Below are 19,424 nucleotides of genomic sequence, written 5' to 3'. Positions count from 1 at the left end.
GTGACCACTCCTGCCTCCACTCTCCCAGCACAGGCCCACCTGGGCACATCTCCATAGCAGGGCCCTGGGAACTGAAAGGCAGCCAGCTTCCATTGCAATCCCAGCCCCATCCCTCACTGACTCATCAAACATCACTTCTTTAAACATCAGATTCCTTAGTTCTTAGTAGGAAATCTAAGTCAGTTCATGCTTATACTGTTTGAAATAAAGCTCCTGCTTTTTTTTGTTTGTTTTCAGCCTCATTTCTGTTCAATTTATTTTAGGCTATTTAATCTTTAAAACATATTGGTACAGATAGTGTCAGACCTGAGTGTACTTAACTGTCTCCTTTACTCACTTCCTGTATAATTCTGTGCAAACTATCTGACATCTCTCAGCCTCAGTTTTTCCATCTGTAAAGTGAGCATAATCTTGGAATCTGATTAAGGAGAGGACCAACCACACACCTGCCTTACAACATCACTGGTATAATGGATATATGCTCCCATTTAACTCATTTTTTAAATGAAGAATCATATAACTGTCAAATGTAAATGGATTCTGCTTTGGCCAAGGAAGTTGATCTCACTTACTGAAAAGTTATAAATACTCCTTGTTGAGCTTGTGTAATGACTGAGGTATTCTTTTTCAGTGAGCATAATGTCATTGCTCAAGGCCTAACAAGGCAACGCCACCAGCCTATAGACTAGTTGGCTTTGGTTGGTGAGTAGTGACATTTCTGAAACCAGATCACGCATGGGGTGTTGCTGGGTCTGGGCAATGTGATTTTATCCATGTATGTGCTTTACCTCTCTCCTTAGTGTGTTGGAAAAATTATGAGTGTCAGAAAATAAACACAACTACAATTTGTCAATTTACAATTTACAAAATAATTTTTAAAGTATCAGAAAAATTCCTAATTGAGATAATTCGAGAAAAGTGAATTGCTAAATTCCAAGAAATGGTATTCACCTTTTATTAATAGAAATTTGATTTTTCACTAGCCCTAATAAGTAAATGCTGAACAGATATTTAACAAATGTTGGCACAAAGAGGTATCAAATTATTAACCTGCCCTCAATGGCCACACGGCTCAGTGCAGTCTTGCCAGGACCTCTACCAGAGGTTTTCTAACATTTTCCAATTATGATCTACTTCCTGCTCCCATGTCAGATCCCAGGGGTTTCTTCAGTTTACGTTTGTTTATGCCAGCTCTCGACTGCATTTCTCCCCTTTTCTCATTTACCTATCAGAATCCGCATTTTCCTGGATGCCTTTCATGATGTTAACCCCCTCCCCACAAACTGCATTGACATTTTGCTCTATTTATATCTGTCTTATAATTATTACTGTCTGAATTGACTACCTTTGTTCAGTTCAGTAGACCATTACTTAGTACCTCTGTGTTCTAGAAATTATTCCAGGTGCTGGTATTACTGAAACATGAGGGGTTTAATCTAGGTCCTGCTGCTCACCACACAGAAAGCCAATCTCTGAGACGAGGATTATTGCCAAGGAAGAAGGCTTTAATTAGGTGCTGCAGCGGAGGAGTTGGGAGCTCAGTCTCAAATCCATTTCCCTGACCAACTAAAACTAGGGGCTAATATAGCAGGGAAGAAATGTAACAGGTATAAGAAAGCAGAAACTAGGGAGGGGAAAGGAAGCAATCAGGATGAATGAAGGGTCTGGCCTGTCATGTCTGGATGCAGTGATCTGGTAAGTTTCAATTCTTTTGATTTTTTTTTTTTTTTTTGAGAAGCCTAAAGGTTGTTTCCTGAGGAAAGAACTCAGATAAAACAAATATAAGTCTCAAGCTTTAAGACCAGAAGGGTCAATTTCTATGTTTATCCAAAAAAAAAAAAACAGCAACAACAACAACAAAAACTATCTATGGGACTATTGGGTCAGTTTCACTGGGAATATGAAAATATATACTCTGTCCTCTCGAAGAACTCATAATGTAGGTTAGCAAAGACAGATATTTGTGTTGCTGACTAAAAAATATCAAGTGTACAGAAAAAGAGCTTTGTTGGGCTAGGAGGAAGCACTCTTCATTTTGTCAGGGGCCATAGATGCAGAGAATGAGGACTCAGAAGACTCTTCATTAAGGAGCTGGTGTTTGGGCTGGGGAGCCCGGTGGACAAGAGTAATTTCACCTGGTGAAGGCAGGGACAAGGGCATTCCAGGTTAGAGACAAAGAAATGTACAAAGGAAGAGATGCAGCACCTGGGGAGAGGGTCCAAGACCTAATGGCCTGGCCTTTGAGGCCAGGTTGAGGGCTTCCACCTGAACATTGGCCAGTGTTCAATAGAGTGGGGATCACAGGTATCAGAGCTTTCAAACCTGCACATCCCTGAGCTAAGTCCCATGGCATCAGAGACACTGGGGATGGGGCTATGGAGCCTGAATTGGTATTTATCTCCGTGTGACCCTCATGTGCTCTAAGCAGGCATAGGCAGGATAGGGGGATGGCTTGATCAGACTTCCATTCTGGGGATGGAACTCCGGCAATTGTGTGGAGAATGGATGGAGGGAGAGGCCATGCCGTAGCAGCCTACATGAGATGTGACCATGGCAGAGAGGATGACAGGTGGAATCATTCCAGAGGTAGAAGTGACAGGATTTAGGGAGAGATTGAGGTGAAGGCTCAGGGGAAGGAGGACCATGAAGGTGCCTGAGATTTGTAGCTTCAGTACTTGGTGGTGATCTAAACTGAAATATCCCAGGAGCAGGAAGATGCTTGTGATTTCAGACCTTCGTGTCCTCACGCCGTATTAAATCAATTACTCTTTCTTGAGGTGCAGATTGTGCCACTACACCTATCACAGCAGCTTGTATGTAGCAGACATGTTACCATCTGTGAAATGAAAATATTCAACTCGTGACTGGAAATGTGGGCCTGGAACTCAGAGAAGTGGGCAGAAATGGAGACAGATTTGAGAATAAACTGTATTGCAGTGAAAGTTGAAACCCTAGTAACAGATAAGATCACCAAGGAAAGAGGCAAAGAGAGAAAAGAGAGCCTGGGGAAAGCTTGCATTTTTAGAAGATTTGAGGATGATAGGGACACAGAAAAGAGAGTTTTAAGTCAACAGTCTCAAGTTCAGCTGAACAGATTGGGGTTGAGAAAACACGCTGGAGCAGAGATGTAGTGGTCATTGGTCCACCTTCAAAGAGAAGTTCAATGGCACTGGATGGGCCAGGTTATAATACCATATGGAGTGGCTTTATGGTGAACACTGACCCCTACTTTTCTAATTTTAACACTAAAAAAATACAGTGATGAGGCAGAAATGTTACAATTACCTTTTTTCTTCCTTTTTAAAGAATGGAAAAGATTTGAGTATTTGGAAGCATTTATGATTATATATATTGATAGCAAAAATGAGTATAGTGTCTAAACATTTCTCACTGCAGGCTTGTTTCTGTGCCATCTCCCAGGGCTGAATGTGGTTGGAGTATTGTTGAAGGGCCTCCAAAAGTAAATATTGTGACCCCACTCCAGGATGGTACAAAAAATAGCTGATTATTTAGATAATGAAGAACTGGGCTCTGCCTCCTGTGGCCTGGAAACACTATGGTGTTTTCCTAACATTTTTATGTCCACAACCCACAGAACATGTAAAAGATTCCGACCTAGTACACCTCTCTTCCATACTTGTGAAAAATACTTTACTAGTTGCAAAACATTTTGATCTTTATTTTTCTATTCTTCCTATGATATTCTGTTCTATTTCATTAAGAGGGAAAAGAAACCCTGGTCAGGATCCATGTGAATGGATTTGCTGATGTGCAGTTTGACCAGCCCTGTTCTGTTCCATCCTTGACTGTAGCAGTGATGAACTGTCACCGACACGTACATTTTACATTTGAGGCCTAAGGCAGATTACTTCACCTCACTAGTCTCAGTTTCCTCATCTGTAAAATGGGGGTGATTTTATCTGCCCAGCATTTCAGGTTGAACATCAGATGAGACCCTTAATGAAAGAGTTTTCTCTCTGTAAAAATGCTACACAGGTGAAAGATTATATTACTGACAAAACTTTAGTTCTTGGCAGAGTACCCAATAAGTTATTTTTCTTAACTATTTGCTGATGTCTCACATTGAGGCTTGAAATGCTCAGTTTCTATCTGTAGTCATCTTTGGGGTTGGTTTGTAAGATTTTTTTAAAGAAATGGGTTGGTTGATTTTTAAATAATGGTCCTGATGAGAGTCAGCACACGACAGTCATTGTGTGTTTAATGTTTTCTTGTTAGTGGGGCTCTTACCTTTACAAAGTTGATCAGCAGAAATTAAATAACATCATTTAGAAAGGACATGAGTCCCCTTTGTGTTTAAGTATTATTATTATAATAGAGTTACTGACAGAGTTGTTTTTTGTTGTTGTTGTTTGTTTGTTTGTTTGCATTTTAGCACCCATCCTAGTAAGTCCTGGGGAGAGAAAACCTGTTTTGTCCCCAAGGCAACAAGAAAGCACTATCAAGTTAAGCCCCACAATCCTAGGAGGCTTTCAACACTCATTCACCTTGAATCCCTCTTGGCTAATTTACAAATAGATACATTTAAACTAGGTACCCTTAACGAATCTGTTAATTAATCCACATACATGCTTAGTTCTCCTGTGGGCACTAATGCTCACCACTCAAAGCATATGCTTTAGATCTTGCACTTGTATCTTTTGTTATGGTAAGTTATTTTCAAAGGCCATTACTTGCTTTTAGACTCTGTGTGTTGAGAGATAAGGAGATGGTTTGTGTTGGCAGAGAGTGAAGCTCCTAGCCTCCCTCGGTCCCAGAAGCTGTCATTCCTGTGTACGTGTTTCGCTGGAGGGAACTGTCCCAGAATCAATATTTGCATAGGAAATTTTCCCCAACCAACTCTTATTCTGATCAGATAAAAGAAAAATTGAACTCAAAAATCTAAATAACTCCTTCCTCCTTTTCCCACCACATGAGCCACACCACTGGAAGGCATAAAGAGAGAAATTGTGTTTTTATTTATTTTTTGACATTAATCTATGAACTAAAGGGTCAACAGAGTTCTCCCTTTTAGGGGACCATATATATTTTATGCATGCAACTTCATAGGATAATCATAAATCCTTGTCTAGGATAAATACACTTTTGCTCCCAAGATGCATTCTTGGAATTATAATTTTTCCTATTTCCAAGAAAATAATGTTATTTACGCTGTCTTCTCTTTGTCATTAGGGGGTTGAGGTTGAGTCCAGCAGAACTTTGAGAGTTTGTCCATTATGCAGATTTAGCTTACAGAGTTAGCTTTGCCAAGTCCCTTAACTTGCTTGTGTTTCTAATTCTCACCCTGTTAGTTTTGGCGTAATGCTAGGCAACCGATTTTGAGGTCTTTAAAGATGTGACAATAAACATAGCATTGTTGTTGGGGATAAGCTAGAAATAAATACAGGACTGACACTTTATCCTAGGTTTGCTTTTATGTTCATCTATTCCTCCTTTAGTTCTATTTCTATGTATTAAGAATTATTCCTAAAGCTTAAAATGTAGTGTGAGGCCAGGTGAGGTGGCTCATACCTGTAATTTCAGCATTTTGGGAGGCCGAGACGGGAGGATTGCTTGAGCCCAAGAAGTCCAGCATGCAGTGAGGCATGATCGTGCAACTGTACTCCAGCCTGGGTGACAGAGGGAGACCCTGCCTCTAAAAAAGTGTGTTAACTGTCAATCTGAAATTATTATTTAGTGTCCTGCATGTTCTATGTTCTAGTATAATAAGGTAAGAAAAAGAAATGCCTACACCCTACAGCATTGTTGTTTTAAAACCAAAAACATGAATTCAGTAGGCTAAAATATTCTGAAATTTAATTTTCTTCATTTTCATTGAAATTAGCACTTTAAAGAGCAAAAATTCAAATAAAGCACAAATGAAGTGCCAAAGTATGGTTGCTTTTTATGTGAAGTTATTTCACATTAGTATATGATCAGCTTGCCCTCCAAGAAAATTACTCTGCATTCCAGGATGAGGAAAGGCTTCTTCTGTTATTTCAGTTGGTTAAGTGGAGTTCCTTACTTCTATAGCCCATTGCATTTTTAAGTGGAATTTAGGATGTTATTCTATGTTTTATTTTTCCCTTTATAGTCTTGCCTCTAGTTTTTCAGAGAAAACACGCATGTTTTTCTTTGTTCTTAAGTTTCCTCCTAGCTGGGCAACAGTAGCAACAGGGAACCCCCTTTGAACAGGCATGAATGGAACTTTTCTCTGAAAAATAGAAGAAAAGCTTCTACCCTCTTCACCTCTTCCTACCTTGCCTTTAGATGCTCAGCTGGTCAGAGTTATCCTAGTTATCCAAAGCGTGAACAGAAGAATTTCTCTCTTTTCTTCTTTCATAAAGTTACAAAAGAAGTAGCTTATTATATAAGTAGGCATAGTCAAGCAGTGCAGTTTTGATCACTTGGGGATACATTGTTCATGCCAGTTAGCATTTGCAGAGCCCTACTGTATGCACAGCATTATAGGTAGGCTCCATGGTGGGCACCACACAGCAGGCATGAATGGCATACAAAAGCAAAAAGTACATGAAATGATATTTTAAAAAATACAGAGCAGAGAGCACAATATTTAAAAGTACACAGGCCAAGCGTGGTGGCTCACACCTTGTAATCCCAGCACTTTGGGAGGCCAAGGCAGGCAAATCACTTGAGGTCAGGAGTTTGAGACCAGCCTGGCCAACATGGTGAAACCCTGTCTCTATTAAAAATACAAAAATTATCTGGGCATGGTAGTGCACGCCTGTAATCCCAGCCACTCGGGAGGCTAAGTGAGGCAGGAGAATCGCTTGAACCCGGGAGGTGGAGGTTGCAGTGAGCCAAGATTGTGCCACTGCACTCCAGCCTGGGCAAAAAGAGTGAAGACTTCATCTCAAAAAAAAAAAAAAAAAGCACACAGAATAATGTAAACTGAATCAATAAGTACAGTGGGTGACCTCACTGTCAGCTAGGTTGGTATGCTTTGGCCTACTTTTGATGAAGAGGGCAAAAAGCATAAATGGCATGATGGATACAAGGAATAACTATTTAGGAGTCATCCTTGATTGCTTCTCCTTCATCTCTTTTTTCTCTCTCCATATTCAATTCATTGGCAAGTTGTGTCCATTTTGTCTAAAAAAATATAGCTCCAGTGTTCCATGTTTCTCCTGCTCATTGCCACTTCCCTGATCTGAGTCATTGTCATCTGCAGGCAACATTACAGCAACAGTCACCTAACTGGTCTCCCTGCTTCCGCTCTTGTTTCTCTCAAGTCTGTTCTCCCAAAGAAGCAAAAAAGAACTTTTAAAAATATGCATCAAATCATGCACTTCCCAATTTAAAATTCTTTCGTGGTTCCCCGTGTTCTTAGGCTTAGATCTGAATTTATTGTGGTCTCTACTCTCTCCAGGCTTGTTGAATGTCACATCTCCTGCTATGGACATAATAGCTGCTCCGTAAATATTTGTTAAAACAGAAGAATAAGTTATCTAAAGAGAAAAGTAATCCAGTCATTATGTGTGGATCCCAGTTATGTAAAATACATTTTGGTGTTGAATGTCAGTGTGAAATTGGACATTTGGAGGAAGCTAGAGAGTTCAGAGAAGCCCTTCAGTGATGAGCAGGAGAAGTTCAGATGCCATGAGATAAGCAATACATAAGCCAAAGTCTGGCACTTGTTTTTATATTTTTTGAGACTGATTATTTTAGCATTGTTCCCAAGCTGGATTGGATTAGTGAGAGGCTGGAGTCAGGGCTTTGTGTAAGAGGTCATTGTACCCATGAAGAAAGGGTGATAAGGGCTTGGATAGGGAGATGCTGGGAAGGGATATACGGATTCAAGACTCCACAATATGGAATTTTGTGGTAACAATGCACTGAGCAACCCAGATATAAATACTGTGCTTCCTTTATTATATGACATTTAAACTGCCAGCCAGAAAGCCACATTAAAAAAAATATATGGCTGTTCTTATATGAAATGAATAAAAGTCTTCATCTTATACCCACAGCTGCCCTTTTGGTAAAGCACAATGCTGATATGGTGATGTCAGGATGGGTTTAGGTGAAGAACAGAATTAAGATTGAATTTTCTCACTGCCATTGATTTAATACATGAGATAATATGCAGGAGAAGTACCCAGTGCTATTAGCTAACTTCACATTTGATTAACAAAAAATAATGCCAATGTTTACATTTTGTGAATCTATCTAACATTTTTTCCCGCTAAATTGCGATCTGAAAGAAAATTATCTGAAGCATTTTTTGTATGATGATACATTTGTTTAATGGTGTTCTTTTTTTTAAGCAATTGAACAAGATGAAGAAAACAACGACAAACATGTAGCTGTAACAGAAGCCGAAAGTGTTCCAGATTCTCAGGTATGATCAATTCTGTGACAGCCCCTCATCATACCCTTCTGTGTTGAGGGTGGTGAGACAGTGCAGGTGTTAAAAAATGATATAGGTTTTACCTTTTATGTTTTGTAAATAGCCATGTTATTGGGAATAAAGTGCTCAGTTTTGATATAAAGGTATTTCACACAAAGGGTCCTAAATTGGTAATTATATTTATAATTTGATTCATGGGAGAGGGTCAGATAGACACACTTTACTTCCCAGAGGAAGCAAGGGAAATGAGTGAAGGGCAGACATTCCCCTGAAGAAGGCAGTGGAGAATGGGCCAGCTGACAGCACCAACTTGCTAGAGGTTCTGTGCTACCTCCCAGTAGCTAAATCACGGCATGAATATGCTTTAGGTAGCATACCTCCAAATACTATTGCACCATAAAAACTTTGGACACCCTAGTGCTGCCAGCTGTTAACTTTATATAACAGTGGAGCATTTTAAAATTCTGACTTAGCCTAGTTGACTCATCTCACTTCGCCTTTAAGGTTACAAATCTGTTGATTCTGGTCAGAAGAATCACATTAACTTTTTCAATAAAGATTGCATGGACAGTAATGTTTTAATAAAGTCACATTGTTTTGCTGTGGTAATATTAAACATGGAACAGTCCTCAAGTTCATATTAAAATTATACTGCAGGCTTCCAAGCAAACCTGTGCAGGGATTCCCCAGCTCAGTGTATTTACCACTTTCTCCAAGTTTCTTAAATCCTTAAATTACTAGTGGGACAAGGGTTTCTAAATTTAAAATACTGTTATTCTTTATTTGTTCTGAACTTATTCTATGGGTAAATGTCTGTTTGAATGCAATTTTATTTCTCAAAAGGATACACAGACCTTACTGTTCAGGATTTTGTGATTTTTATTCAGCAATGATTATATAACTGTGTATCTGTAGGACATACAGAGGGATGAAATCATGAAACCAGTAGATTGATAATTAGATTAGGAACAGATTCTACTTAGGTTTGAAAGTTGAATTAAGTTCACTGGGCAGCATGGCATCATTATGAGTGTTATAGGCCTAAGCTGGTTAGGAAGGAAGGCAGTTGTCACCTCCTCTGGTGTGTCTAAGAAAGCTTGATCTGCTACCGTAGTGGAAACACCAGTTTTATTGGTTTAATTCTGCAGGCCCGTCTATATAAGTTCTCTGGATGGAATAAGTAGTTCAAGTCATGCGAGGTGAGCTTAAAGAAAACTTAGAATTTTGCCATCAGATACATAGGCAGAATTAGAAATAAAAATGTATGCTCATTGGTATGTACGTATGTGTGTAATTTATATGTACAATTTATTTGATTGATGTATATACATTTAATGGCTTGAGCACCTATTTGCCAGGCTTCACAGTATTTCAGATTACTTCAGTCTTCATTCCAGAGCATATTTTAAGCAAGTTAAGTGGATTCTGATTCCTTCTTCCGCATAGATGATGAAATATGTTACCGTGGGGAATGTGCCTCTAGGCTGCTGAAAACTTTGGGTCTATAAAAGGTTAAGATGGTTACTAAGCCCAGACAGACTTGGCCTTGTTGTACACAGGCTTCCCATCTACCAGAGATCTCTCATATGTTGGCTGCTTTTTTCTTACTCTCACTAAAAATACCTTTTCTGCTTAAGAAACTCCCTGTTTTAATGCTGTCACATGTGGGTGGAGTGAAGAGAGCATTTAGAGTTGGGTTTACCTGCCAGCCCTTCTTCCTTAAGGGATGTTCCTTAGTGGCTGTAAACCTGGAAGATCCTGTAGGTCGCCTAAGTCTTTGTCCCCATGGTGTCCCCACTATGCTAGACAGTACCTAGCATGCATGGTTTTCATCTCTGCAAAATGGAGATATTATAAGCTTGTCCTGAGGTTGAAATGAAGCAACATAAAACACTCCTGGCAATCCCGGCACATAGGAGAGTTTCAGTAAATGTTGGGCAGCATAATGTAAAGACTAGGGGCGCTGCCTCTGGGGCCACACTGCCTGGATTCTTTTCCTGACTGGCACAGTAACCTTGGGCGAGTAACAGTCGTGGTGGCTCGCACCCGTAATCCCAGCACTTTGGGAGGCCAAGGCAGGTGGATCGTGAAGTCAGGAGTTTGAGACCAGCCTGGACAACATGGTGAAACCCTGTCTCTACTTAAAAAAAAAAAAAAAAAAATTAGCTGGGCGTGGTAGCAGGTGCCTGTAATCCCAGCTACTTGGGAGGCCGAAGCAGGAGAATCATTTGAACCCGGGAGGCGGAGGTTTCAGTGAGCCAAAATCCTGCCATTGCACTCCAGCCTGGGTGACAGGGCGAGACTCCATCTCAAAAAAGAAAACAAAGCAAAACAAAAAACCTTTGGGCAAGTTAACTCTCTTGTGCTCCTACCCTCCTTTTCTGTAATAATACTGGGAGCAGTATTATTGTATATAACACTTAGGCAGCACTTCATATATATTAGACACTCTAAGGTTCTTTGTTTTTATTAATGTATTTAAACATCACAGCAAACCCTCCAGGATAGATAGTTTAATTACTACCACTTTATAGATGTGCCGGTAAGGGACGGGGCCAGGTCTGAAACCAGGGCAGTCTGGTTCTGATGTCCTTGCTTTAAACAGCATGCAAACTGCCTTTCTAACCTCTGTAAAATGGAAATAATTGTTAGATTGTTCTGAAGATTAAAGGACTACATGTGAAGCAATTAGAACAGCACCTGACACACAGTAAGCACCCAACAAATCAGCCTCTGTCAGTTATTGTCACGCTGACCATCTATCTCATTGCTTTTTGGTTGGAATATTTAAAGTATCTAACTGGGCCAAGTTGCAGCATTACTCTCTGCCAGATGGTATCTTTGCAGACACAAAATATTCTAGTCCCTTCACTGTATTATAGGATAAAAGGATTTAAGAATCTTTGTCAAAATGTACTGAAAATTTGCCTGGTTCTAGCTTTTAAGAATTCTAATGAGATCTTTAATTAGTTATTAATTGACTGATTGATTGATTGCAACAGGGTCTTACTCTGTCACCCAGGCTGGAGTGCAGTGGCACGATCATGGCTCGCTGCAGCCTCAACCTCCTGGGCTCAAGTGATCCTCCCACCTCAGCCTCTTGAGTAGCTGGGACAACAGGTGCACACCACCATATCCAGCTAATTTTTTGTATTTTTTTGTAGAGATGTGGTTTTGCTATGTTGCCCAGGCTGACCTCTGACTCCTGGGCTCAAGCAGTCTGCCCACCTCAGCCTCCCCAGGTACCGAGATTACAGGCGTTAGCCACTACACTTGGCCTTGAGTAATTTATAATATATTGAACTTTGGAAATTCTTGCTTTGATTCCATTAGCCATTGGCCACTGGATTCAGTGAATATTTTCATTGTCTCCTATCCTCCATTTGAATCAATCATTCTATTATTAAGTGATAATAATTATTTGTTATACAAATTAACTGCTAAATATTTGGTAACTAATTTATCAGTAGTCAGACTATAACTTTTAAAAATATGCATACTAAAGAAAGCTCTTATTTAATACTGTCAAAGAAAATTGATTATCCTGTTAAATCTTTTATGTTTGATATTATTCGAGTTTGCTTATTCTCTTTTTTAACTTTTTAATTTTTTTTTTTAACTTTGCTACCCTGCTTACCAGTGTGGTCAAGAATGTATACAAGTCTGAGCTATAATTTCTCTTAGGTCAAAACAAGAGAAAATATTGGTGGCCCCCCTACTTTAGTCTGAACGTTAAAGGAATCAAGCATGTGAAGTGAATGAACCCCTTACTTTTTCAATTATATAAATTTATAATACTATATATTATGTAAATTTATAATTCTATATTTTGATTTTAATCAGAAGGGATAATTTTCTAAATACAAAAGATTAAGAAAGTACTTGAGGGAAATAACAGCATAAATTTCATGTAAGTGTGGTTTCTGCCTTATTCCTAGCTCTCAGCATGCTCTGGCAGGATGCAGCATTACACAGTATTTCTATAGTATGGGTCTGTCCATCCTATACAAAGGTGATGTTTTAACACAAGGAATTCCACAAAGGAGTAGGACCAGAGAAACTGAATGTCCATTGCCTTGCCTGGACAGTGACGGGCTAGGAATTATGAAATGATTTCTAAAGCTCCCTGATGCCCCAGCATGGTGTTCGAGGCCCATACCAGTGACTCCCTAGGGATTCCTCACCTGCCTTGACTATCACACTTTCCATTAGGTACATTTCTCACTGTGGATGCTTCGTGGTTCATTTCCCAATTCTCAAGGGGGCATATTCTTCTATCCCTAACAGGGAGAGCTTTTTCATAGTCTAACTTTTTTCTCTGAAGAAATTTGAGAAAATGAATATTTGTTGCCCTAAAATTATTATTATTTTTTGACTATGAACTGTCTTCTGAATTTTCCTGGAAAAAAATTCTTAATATTTTCTGTTTTCAAAATAAGGTGCATACAGTAGAATAATTTATCATCTAAGCTCATCAGTGTTTTATTCTGTCATTTATATTTCTGTTTAAAATAGCAAAAAAATTATATGAACTTCTAGGCTTAATTTTTAATGAAATTAAGATATTACATAGTAATCAATAAAAATTTATCTGAATATCCTGAATTTGAACTGAATAGCATTCTGTTATTGCAAAAGTGCTTTCATGAAAGGTGGACTCTTTCTTTCTGGTTTCCCTGACCTTGATAAGCAATTTTTGCAGCATGTTTTACCTAGGTGTTTTAGAAAAAGTGGTTGTTAAAGTTAAGATAATGCAGAGAATGTTTTAATACAAAGAACTGTGCTTTTGTCCCAGTAAGATGCTCATTTATCATCCATGTGGCCTTTCCCACAGGAATCTTGTCCACGCTTCATTCTGCCATTGAGGGGATGGACCCAACATTTTTATGACTACATTTATAAAGGAAACAGGCTTTTCGTTTACATTCATAACATTTCTCTCCTCAAAGGCTGAAAATCCTATGAATAACTTTAATTATACATTATGGAGACTTTTTTTCAAAACAGACCTTGAAATAAAGCTCCTAAATAACTCTTCTGACAGTTATACATTAATCTTTTATTTTTTTTCTGGCTTAGCAGTGTTAGGTAAATTGTTTATAATTAATTTTACACAGAGAAATTAAATAGACCAGGGATGTGAAAGTCTAGATCAAGGACTGTTAGTTATCTTGCTTCTCCTGCCATAGCAAAGCTCCCACAATATATTAATAAATTCATGGGTTTCTTGAATTAAATCACTAAATTATGGAGCTCTGAAAGGGACCCTGAGGAACATCTAGTTTGGCATGATGCTTCCGCATAGCACTGCCTTATAAATCATCTGGGATATATGGGTTTAAAGTCTCCCAGTGAATGAAGAAGCATTCATAACCTCCTTGAAAATCTTTTTTGATAGTTGTAATATAAGGAATGCTATAGAATTGATTACCTTGTGAAAATGCATCTAGAAGTTATTTAGAAACCAGAAAATCAAAACAGCAATATTTTCTCTTTAATTATAAGATGGAGAATTAAAGAAATAAGTTAGCCTGAAGCCCATTTTAAAAAGTAAGAGCATTTTGCCTTTAAAATACATATTTGCTTCGTGGGCCCAAGTATCTGGTTGTAATGAAAATGTTTCCTCCTGAAAGGGAAGTTCATTTTATTTACATATTTATTTATTACTATTTTTAGAGAGAAACAGAGTCTCACTCTTTTGCCCAGGCTGGAGTGCATTGGTGTGATCATAGCTCACTGCAGCCTCTAACTCCTGGGCTCAAGCAATCCTCCTGCTTTGGCCTCCCAAAACACAGGGATTATAAGCGTGTGCCACTGCACTTGGCTGAGAGAAAAGTTTATATTTAGGATTCTAATAATATGTGAAAAATGCTTAGAGTTCCTTGAAAAATCATGTTCACACAGAAATCCAAAAAAATAGTGAAGACCTTAAATTTCCTCTATTTAATTTCGGCCTTTTATTGATGATGCTGTAATCAGCTGATTAAAAAAAAAAAAAAAAGAAAACCAAAACACTGTACTTGGGACCTACAGATAGAAGGACAGACTGTCTCCAAATCGAGTCTGTGGGAGCTTAGCTGAGTTGCTTTGGAGCCAGTGCCGGTGAAAGGAGGGAACAGGCTCCCCATGGTGACGGGTTAGTTATAGCTATCCAGTACTCTCATATGTGTCCCACCACTGTCTGGGCCTCCATTCCCCACATGCTGTCTTTTGTATGGGAGGGCCATACTGGGGAGCAGAGCAAGATGGGGACTAAATCCATCACACCACTGATTAAACCACAGAACAGGTTTCCAGGTTGGCATTTTGGAGGGTCATTAGCATCCTCCCTCCACCGCCAGGACAGTGTATTAAACACTGTGCAGATGACATGGAAAGAGAGAGAAGAAATCCTCGCTGGTTGACGTACATGAATTTTCTAGATAATAGAAATGTATTTAAGTGTCAAAGCATTTAAGTAATGTTTATTTGTAAGTAGAAATTGCCCCAGTTTCCCTGCCTTCATAGTTATTTTATAACACCATTGAAACTTTTTTACCCTTCTTAGTGTAGATTAAAAGAGCATCTTAATGATAGGCCCATATATTTACCATTGTCTCAGATTATGGACTGCATTAAAATCCTGACAAACAGAAATATGCCCTAAGGAGGATGGCTAGGAGCATAAAAGGATCTAAAAATAAAAATCAAGTGGGCCTTTAGTAATGCTTGGCAATCTTTATTCTACTTCCCTTGCCCAGTTTCCCCTTCTCTTAGGCCATGAGTTGACAAACCACAGCCTACTGTTTGTTTTTATAAATAAAATGTCATTGGAATGTAGCTGCGTTCATTCATTTACATATTATCTCTTGCAGAATTGGGCAGTTGCAACAGAGACCCCATGACCTACAAAGCCTAGAATATTTATTGTCTGGCCCTTTACAAAATAGTTTGCCAGTGCTTGTAACCTAAGTGACTATTAACATGCCTTCTTTTCTTATGCAGCAGCATCTCCCCACAATTTCTTATTTTCAGATCATAACTCTCTTCTTATTTTTCTGGGAAATAGAAGCCTTCAGAAAGGAATTTCTGCATGTCCCTACCACCAAATATGCCAACGTACCTGCATATTTACCCCTGTATTTCACTGTCTCTCCTGTTTCACTGGATGAAATATTTAGATTCATATTTCTTCCTGAGAGTAGATCTTTATCTTCTCTTTCCTACTCAAGAACATTACTCTTGAAAATGCCCCCTTCTCCCTCCTGCATCATCAAATTTTGCTGTCTACTGGAATTCTAATAAAGGTAAACATCCTGGAATAGCCGTCATGTTAAAGCAAATAAGCAAGCGAAACTCTCTTCAAGGACACTCTTCAGCTAATGCCTCATTTCTTGTCACAAACCTCTTTGGAAGAATTGTGTCCTATTTACTGTTGAACTCACGTTAATAAAGCTTTTGTCCCTATCAGTTCAAACAGAAATTGCTCCACTCAAAGTTACCAATTACTTTTGTCAAATTCAGTGTCAGTTATTTTGAGCCCATCTTGTTTGATATTTCAGCAACATTCGATAGAGTTTTTCACTTCTTCCTCCTTGAAGCAGCTTCACTACTCTCCAGATTCTCTTCTTGGAGCCACTCCTCCTCAGATTCCTTTTCTGATTGATTACTCCTTATCTTCCCAGTATCGAAACACTAGACTCAATTCCTGGATTTACACCATTCCATTGGTAAAACCAGAGGAATACCATCTGTATTCTGATGACTCTGGAATTCATATCTTCAGCCTGGACTTCCCCTGAACCTCCAGACTTCCAACTCAGCAACTCCACTTGGATGTCAATAGCCATTTTCCTTCCCAGATCAACCCCTGCCTCCCCCCATGACAACTCCATCCTTTCAGTTACTCAAACCAAATATTTTGGAGACCCCCAAACAGCAAAATCTGCTGGCTCTACCTTTGAAATATATCCAGTGGTTAGAACCACATGTACCACCTTCACCACTAGCACAAGTTCCAAGCCATGTCTTATGTGAAAACCAGGCTCCTAACTGGTCTTCTACCATCAACTACTTCCCCCAGTCCAACCCAGGACATACAATGATCCTGCTAAAATGTCAATCATATTTTGCTAATTCTCTGTTCAAAACCTTCCAAAGGATTTCTGTCTTATTCAGAAAAAGAATCCAAACTCCTTATACAGCCTATAAGGAAATTGTGTGTTGGGCTCCTGCATTACCTCTCAACCAGTGCCACCAGTCTACTCCCTACAGCTCTTTTCTAGCCCTGCTGCTCTCTCTGCCTATCCTTGAGCATGCCAAACACACTTGAGCATTAGGGCCCTTGTACTTGCTGTTCCTCTGCCCGAAACACACTTCCTTCTGGATATCCACATCACTTCTTCCTCATTTCCTTTAGGTCACCATTCAGATGTCATTTTACTAGAAAACCCTTCCTTGACATTTTTATCTTAATAATGCCTTCAGTTATTTATCTGTCCCCTTACCCTGCTTCATTGTTTTTTCTGTCATATATTACCACTCTGTATTTCCTATTGGTATGTTACATCATGAATGTATGCTCCAGGATGTAAGGAACTTTGTTTTTGTTTTTGTTTTGAGATGGACTCTCGCTCTGTCGTCCAGTGCACTGGCGTGATCTCAGCTCACTGCAACCTCCACCTCCATGTTCAAGCAATTCTCCTGCCTCAGCCCTCTGAGTAGCTAGGATTACAGTGCACACCACCACGCCCGGCTAATTTTTTGTATTTTTAGTAGAGACGGGGTTTCACCATGTTGGCCAGGCTGGTCTCAAACTCCTGACATCAGGTGATCCACCCTCCTCAGCCTCCCAAAGTGCTGGGATCACAGGCATGAGCCACTGCACCCGGCCAGAACTTTGTTTTTTTTTATGTTCACTACCATATTCTCAGAACTTATAGTAGGTTCTTACTCAAATAAATCCTTTACTCTGTTGAGTGAATGAATGAATAAAATAATTTAGGGAACTAGGGATATTGTATTAGTCTGCTCTCATGCTGCTAATAAAGACATACCTGAGATTGGGTAATTTATAAAGGAAAGAGGTTTAATTGACTCACAGTTCAGCATGGCTGGAGAGGCCTTACAATCATGGCAAAAGGCGAAGGAAGAGCAAAGGCATGTCTTACATGGCGGCAGGCAAGAGAGCTTGTGCAGGGGAGCTCCCCTTTATGAAACCATCAGATCTCATGAGACTTATTCAATACTACGAGAATAGCACCGGAAAATCCTGCCCCTATGATTAAATTACCTCTACCTGGTTCCTCCCACAACATGTGGGGATTATGGGAACTACAATTTGAGATGAGATTTGGGTGGCGACTCTGCAAAACCATATCAGATATATATCTGGAGAATATTAAAATGAGAATATAATAAATGTTTGTATTTAAATATTTGAAAGATTGTCACATTGGATAAAGAATAGGCCTAGTTTCCATTGCTTTAAAAGGCAAAACTAGTCCTCACAGATTGAAGTTAAATGGTTTCAGTTTTGTCTAGTGTGATAAGAATAAGGGACTTTCCAACAATCCTGGCTATCCAACAGAGTACAGACTGTCTTAAGATAAACTTAGGTCCCTGTCCAAGGAAACTTTAGAAAGGAACTGAAAAGCCACTTGTGAGGGATGTTGTAAAAATCTCTGACTTTGGTGGAGGAATTCCACTTGCTGTCCTCTAGGAGTCTGTGATGTGGGCCACGTCAGAAATTTTTTATTTCCTTCCTAGTTCGACAAACTGCTAGATAAAGAGATACCACTGCCCCTGGGAACAAAGATTTAGTCATTGCTTTGCATGGATAGTTCCATTTCTCTGCTGCCCACTCAACAACACGGGTATCTTTAGCACAAACCGTTAAGATCATGAAGTTTGGATTCTTTGCCGGCCCCTTTGCTGTATTTGGTCATGTTATGGAGTATATTCAAATCCTGTAGGTTATGTTGAGGAAAACGGATTCCATAGTTTTGACTGCTCCTGCCAAGTATAACTTTGGATTTCTTTATTAGATCATGTCTTGGTATGTCAGTATGAACCATTTTGGAAAGAATTTGAGCAGAAACACTTCATAATTAGTGTGTTAGAATGAACTTTTTTTTTTTTTCCTATTTCAAAGTCTTAGATTCACCTTCCTCCTCCTATTATTATTTAGGCACTTTGACCTAATGTAAAATATGATGCTTTATGGATCATTTCCAAACCCCAATGAATGAAATTTCAAGCTTTCTTTTTCCAGTGTCTTATTTTTAGCAAAATATTTCACCATCTTTTATGCACTATTAGTGGTATTTTACTAATGCCCCATGGTAACTTCCCAATTGTGAAAAAAATTATCTTGTGATCTTCTTGTTAAGGGTTTATTTATATACGGAATAATTTGTTGTGGAGCTAAAGAATTGGGGTGTTGCATATTGTTATTTTTAGGGCTCTGTATCAGTTCACCCTTTCACCAGTGTGGTTCCTGGCTAACTTTCCCATGAGTTTTTAACCTCTTGCTAGGCTCTGCTTATGTAACAGGAAACAGGCTGTCAGGAACAAACAAACAGGAGCCTATCAGGCGCACACTTAGTAGCAAATGATTTAGTTTGCTCTGTCCTTCACCCTCTTAAAGTAGGGTGATACGCAGACTCAACTTTAAGTCTTTTGGCATGGTGCTCTTAGGTTATAATAATGTAACTTCAATTTTTGAAAGGCAAAATATTTTACCAAGACCATGATTTAATCCAGGCAGTGGAAAAGATGAGCTTATTATAAGGTGAACTTTGCGGTGGTGTCATGTCCTGGGACTGTGGTTTTAAGTATATCTTCGCTTTTTCTCCAACTCTTAAGGCAGGGGTGATGTGCAAGCTCCAGGAAAGAGATGAAATCGGACGAATTGAACTAGTCCAGAAGCTGGCAAAAGAAAACTATCAGTTTTTGCAGACGGACAAAAAAGAACAGGAGAAGTCTGAACACGTAAGCCTTTTGCCTCTTGGGGATGCAGGTTTGAAGGGGTGGAAAATGTTTTTGCCTGATTGCATGTTTGAACGAAAGACTATTT

The 19,424-nt window shown here is 39.2% G+C and overlaps 1 protein-coding gene across 2 annotated transcripts in view; it reads left to right on the top strand.

Moving 5' to 3' along the window:
- Positions 1-19,424, top strand: part of RAPGEF5 (Rap guanine nucleotide exchange factor 5) — a 238,919-nt gene that overhangs the window by 117,950 nt on the left and 101,545 nt on the right. For both annotated transcript variants that reach the window (NM_012294.5, XM_017012837.3), the window contains 2 exons: positions 8,286-8,359; positions 19,214-19,339. In NM_012294.5, the coding sequence (NP_036426.4) occupies positions 8,286-8,359; positions 19,214-19,339 (200 nt within the window). The remainder of the gene's footprint in view (positions 1-8,285; positions 8,360-19,213; positions 19,340-19,424) is intronic.

This window comes from Homo sapiens, chromosome 7 (assembly GCF_000001405.40).
Source record: "Homo sapiens chromosome 7, GRCh38.p14 Primary Assembly".
Classification (NCBI taxonomy): Eukaryota; Metazoa; Chordata; class Mammalia; order Primates; family Hominidae; genus Homo; species Homo sapiens.
This window is presented reverse-complemented; position numbering and strand designations above follow the sequence as displayed.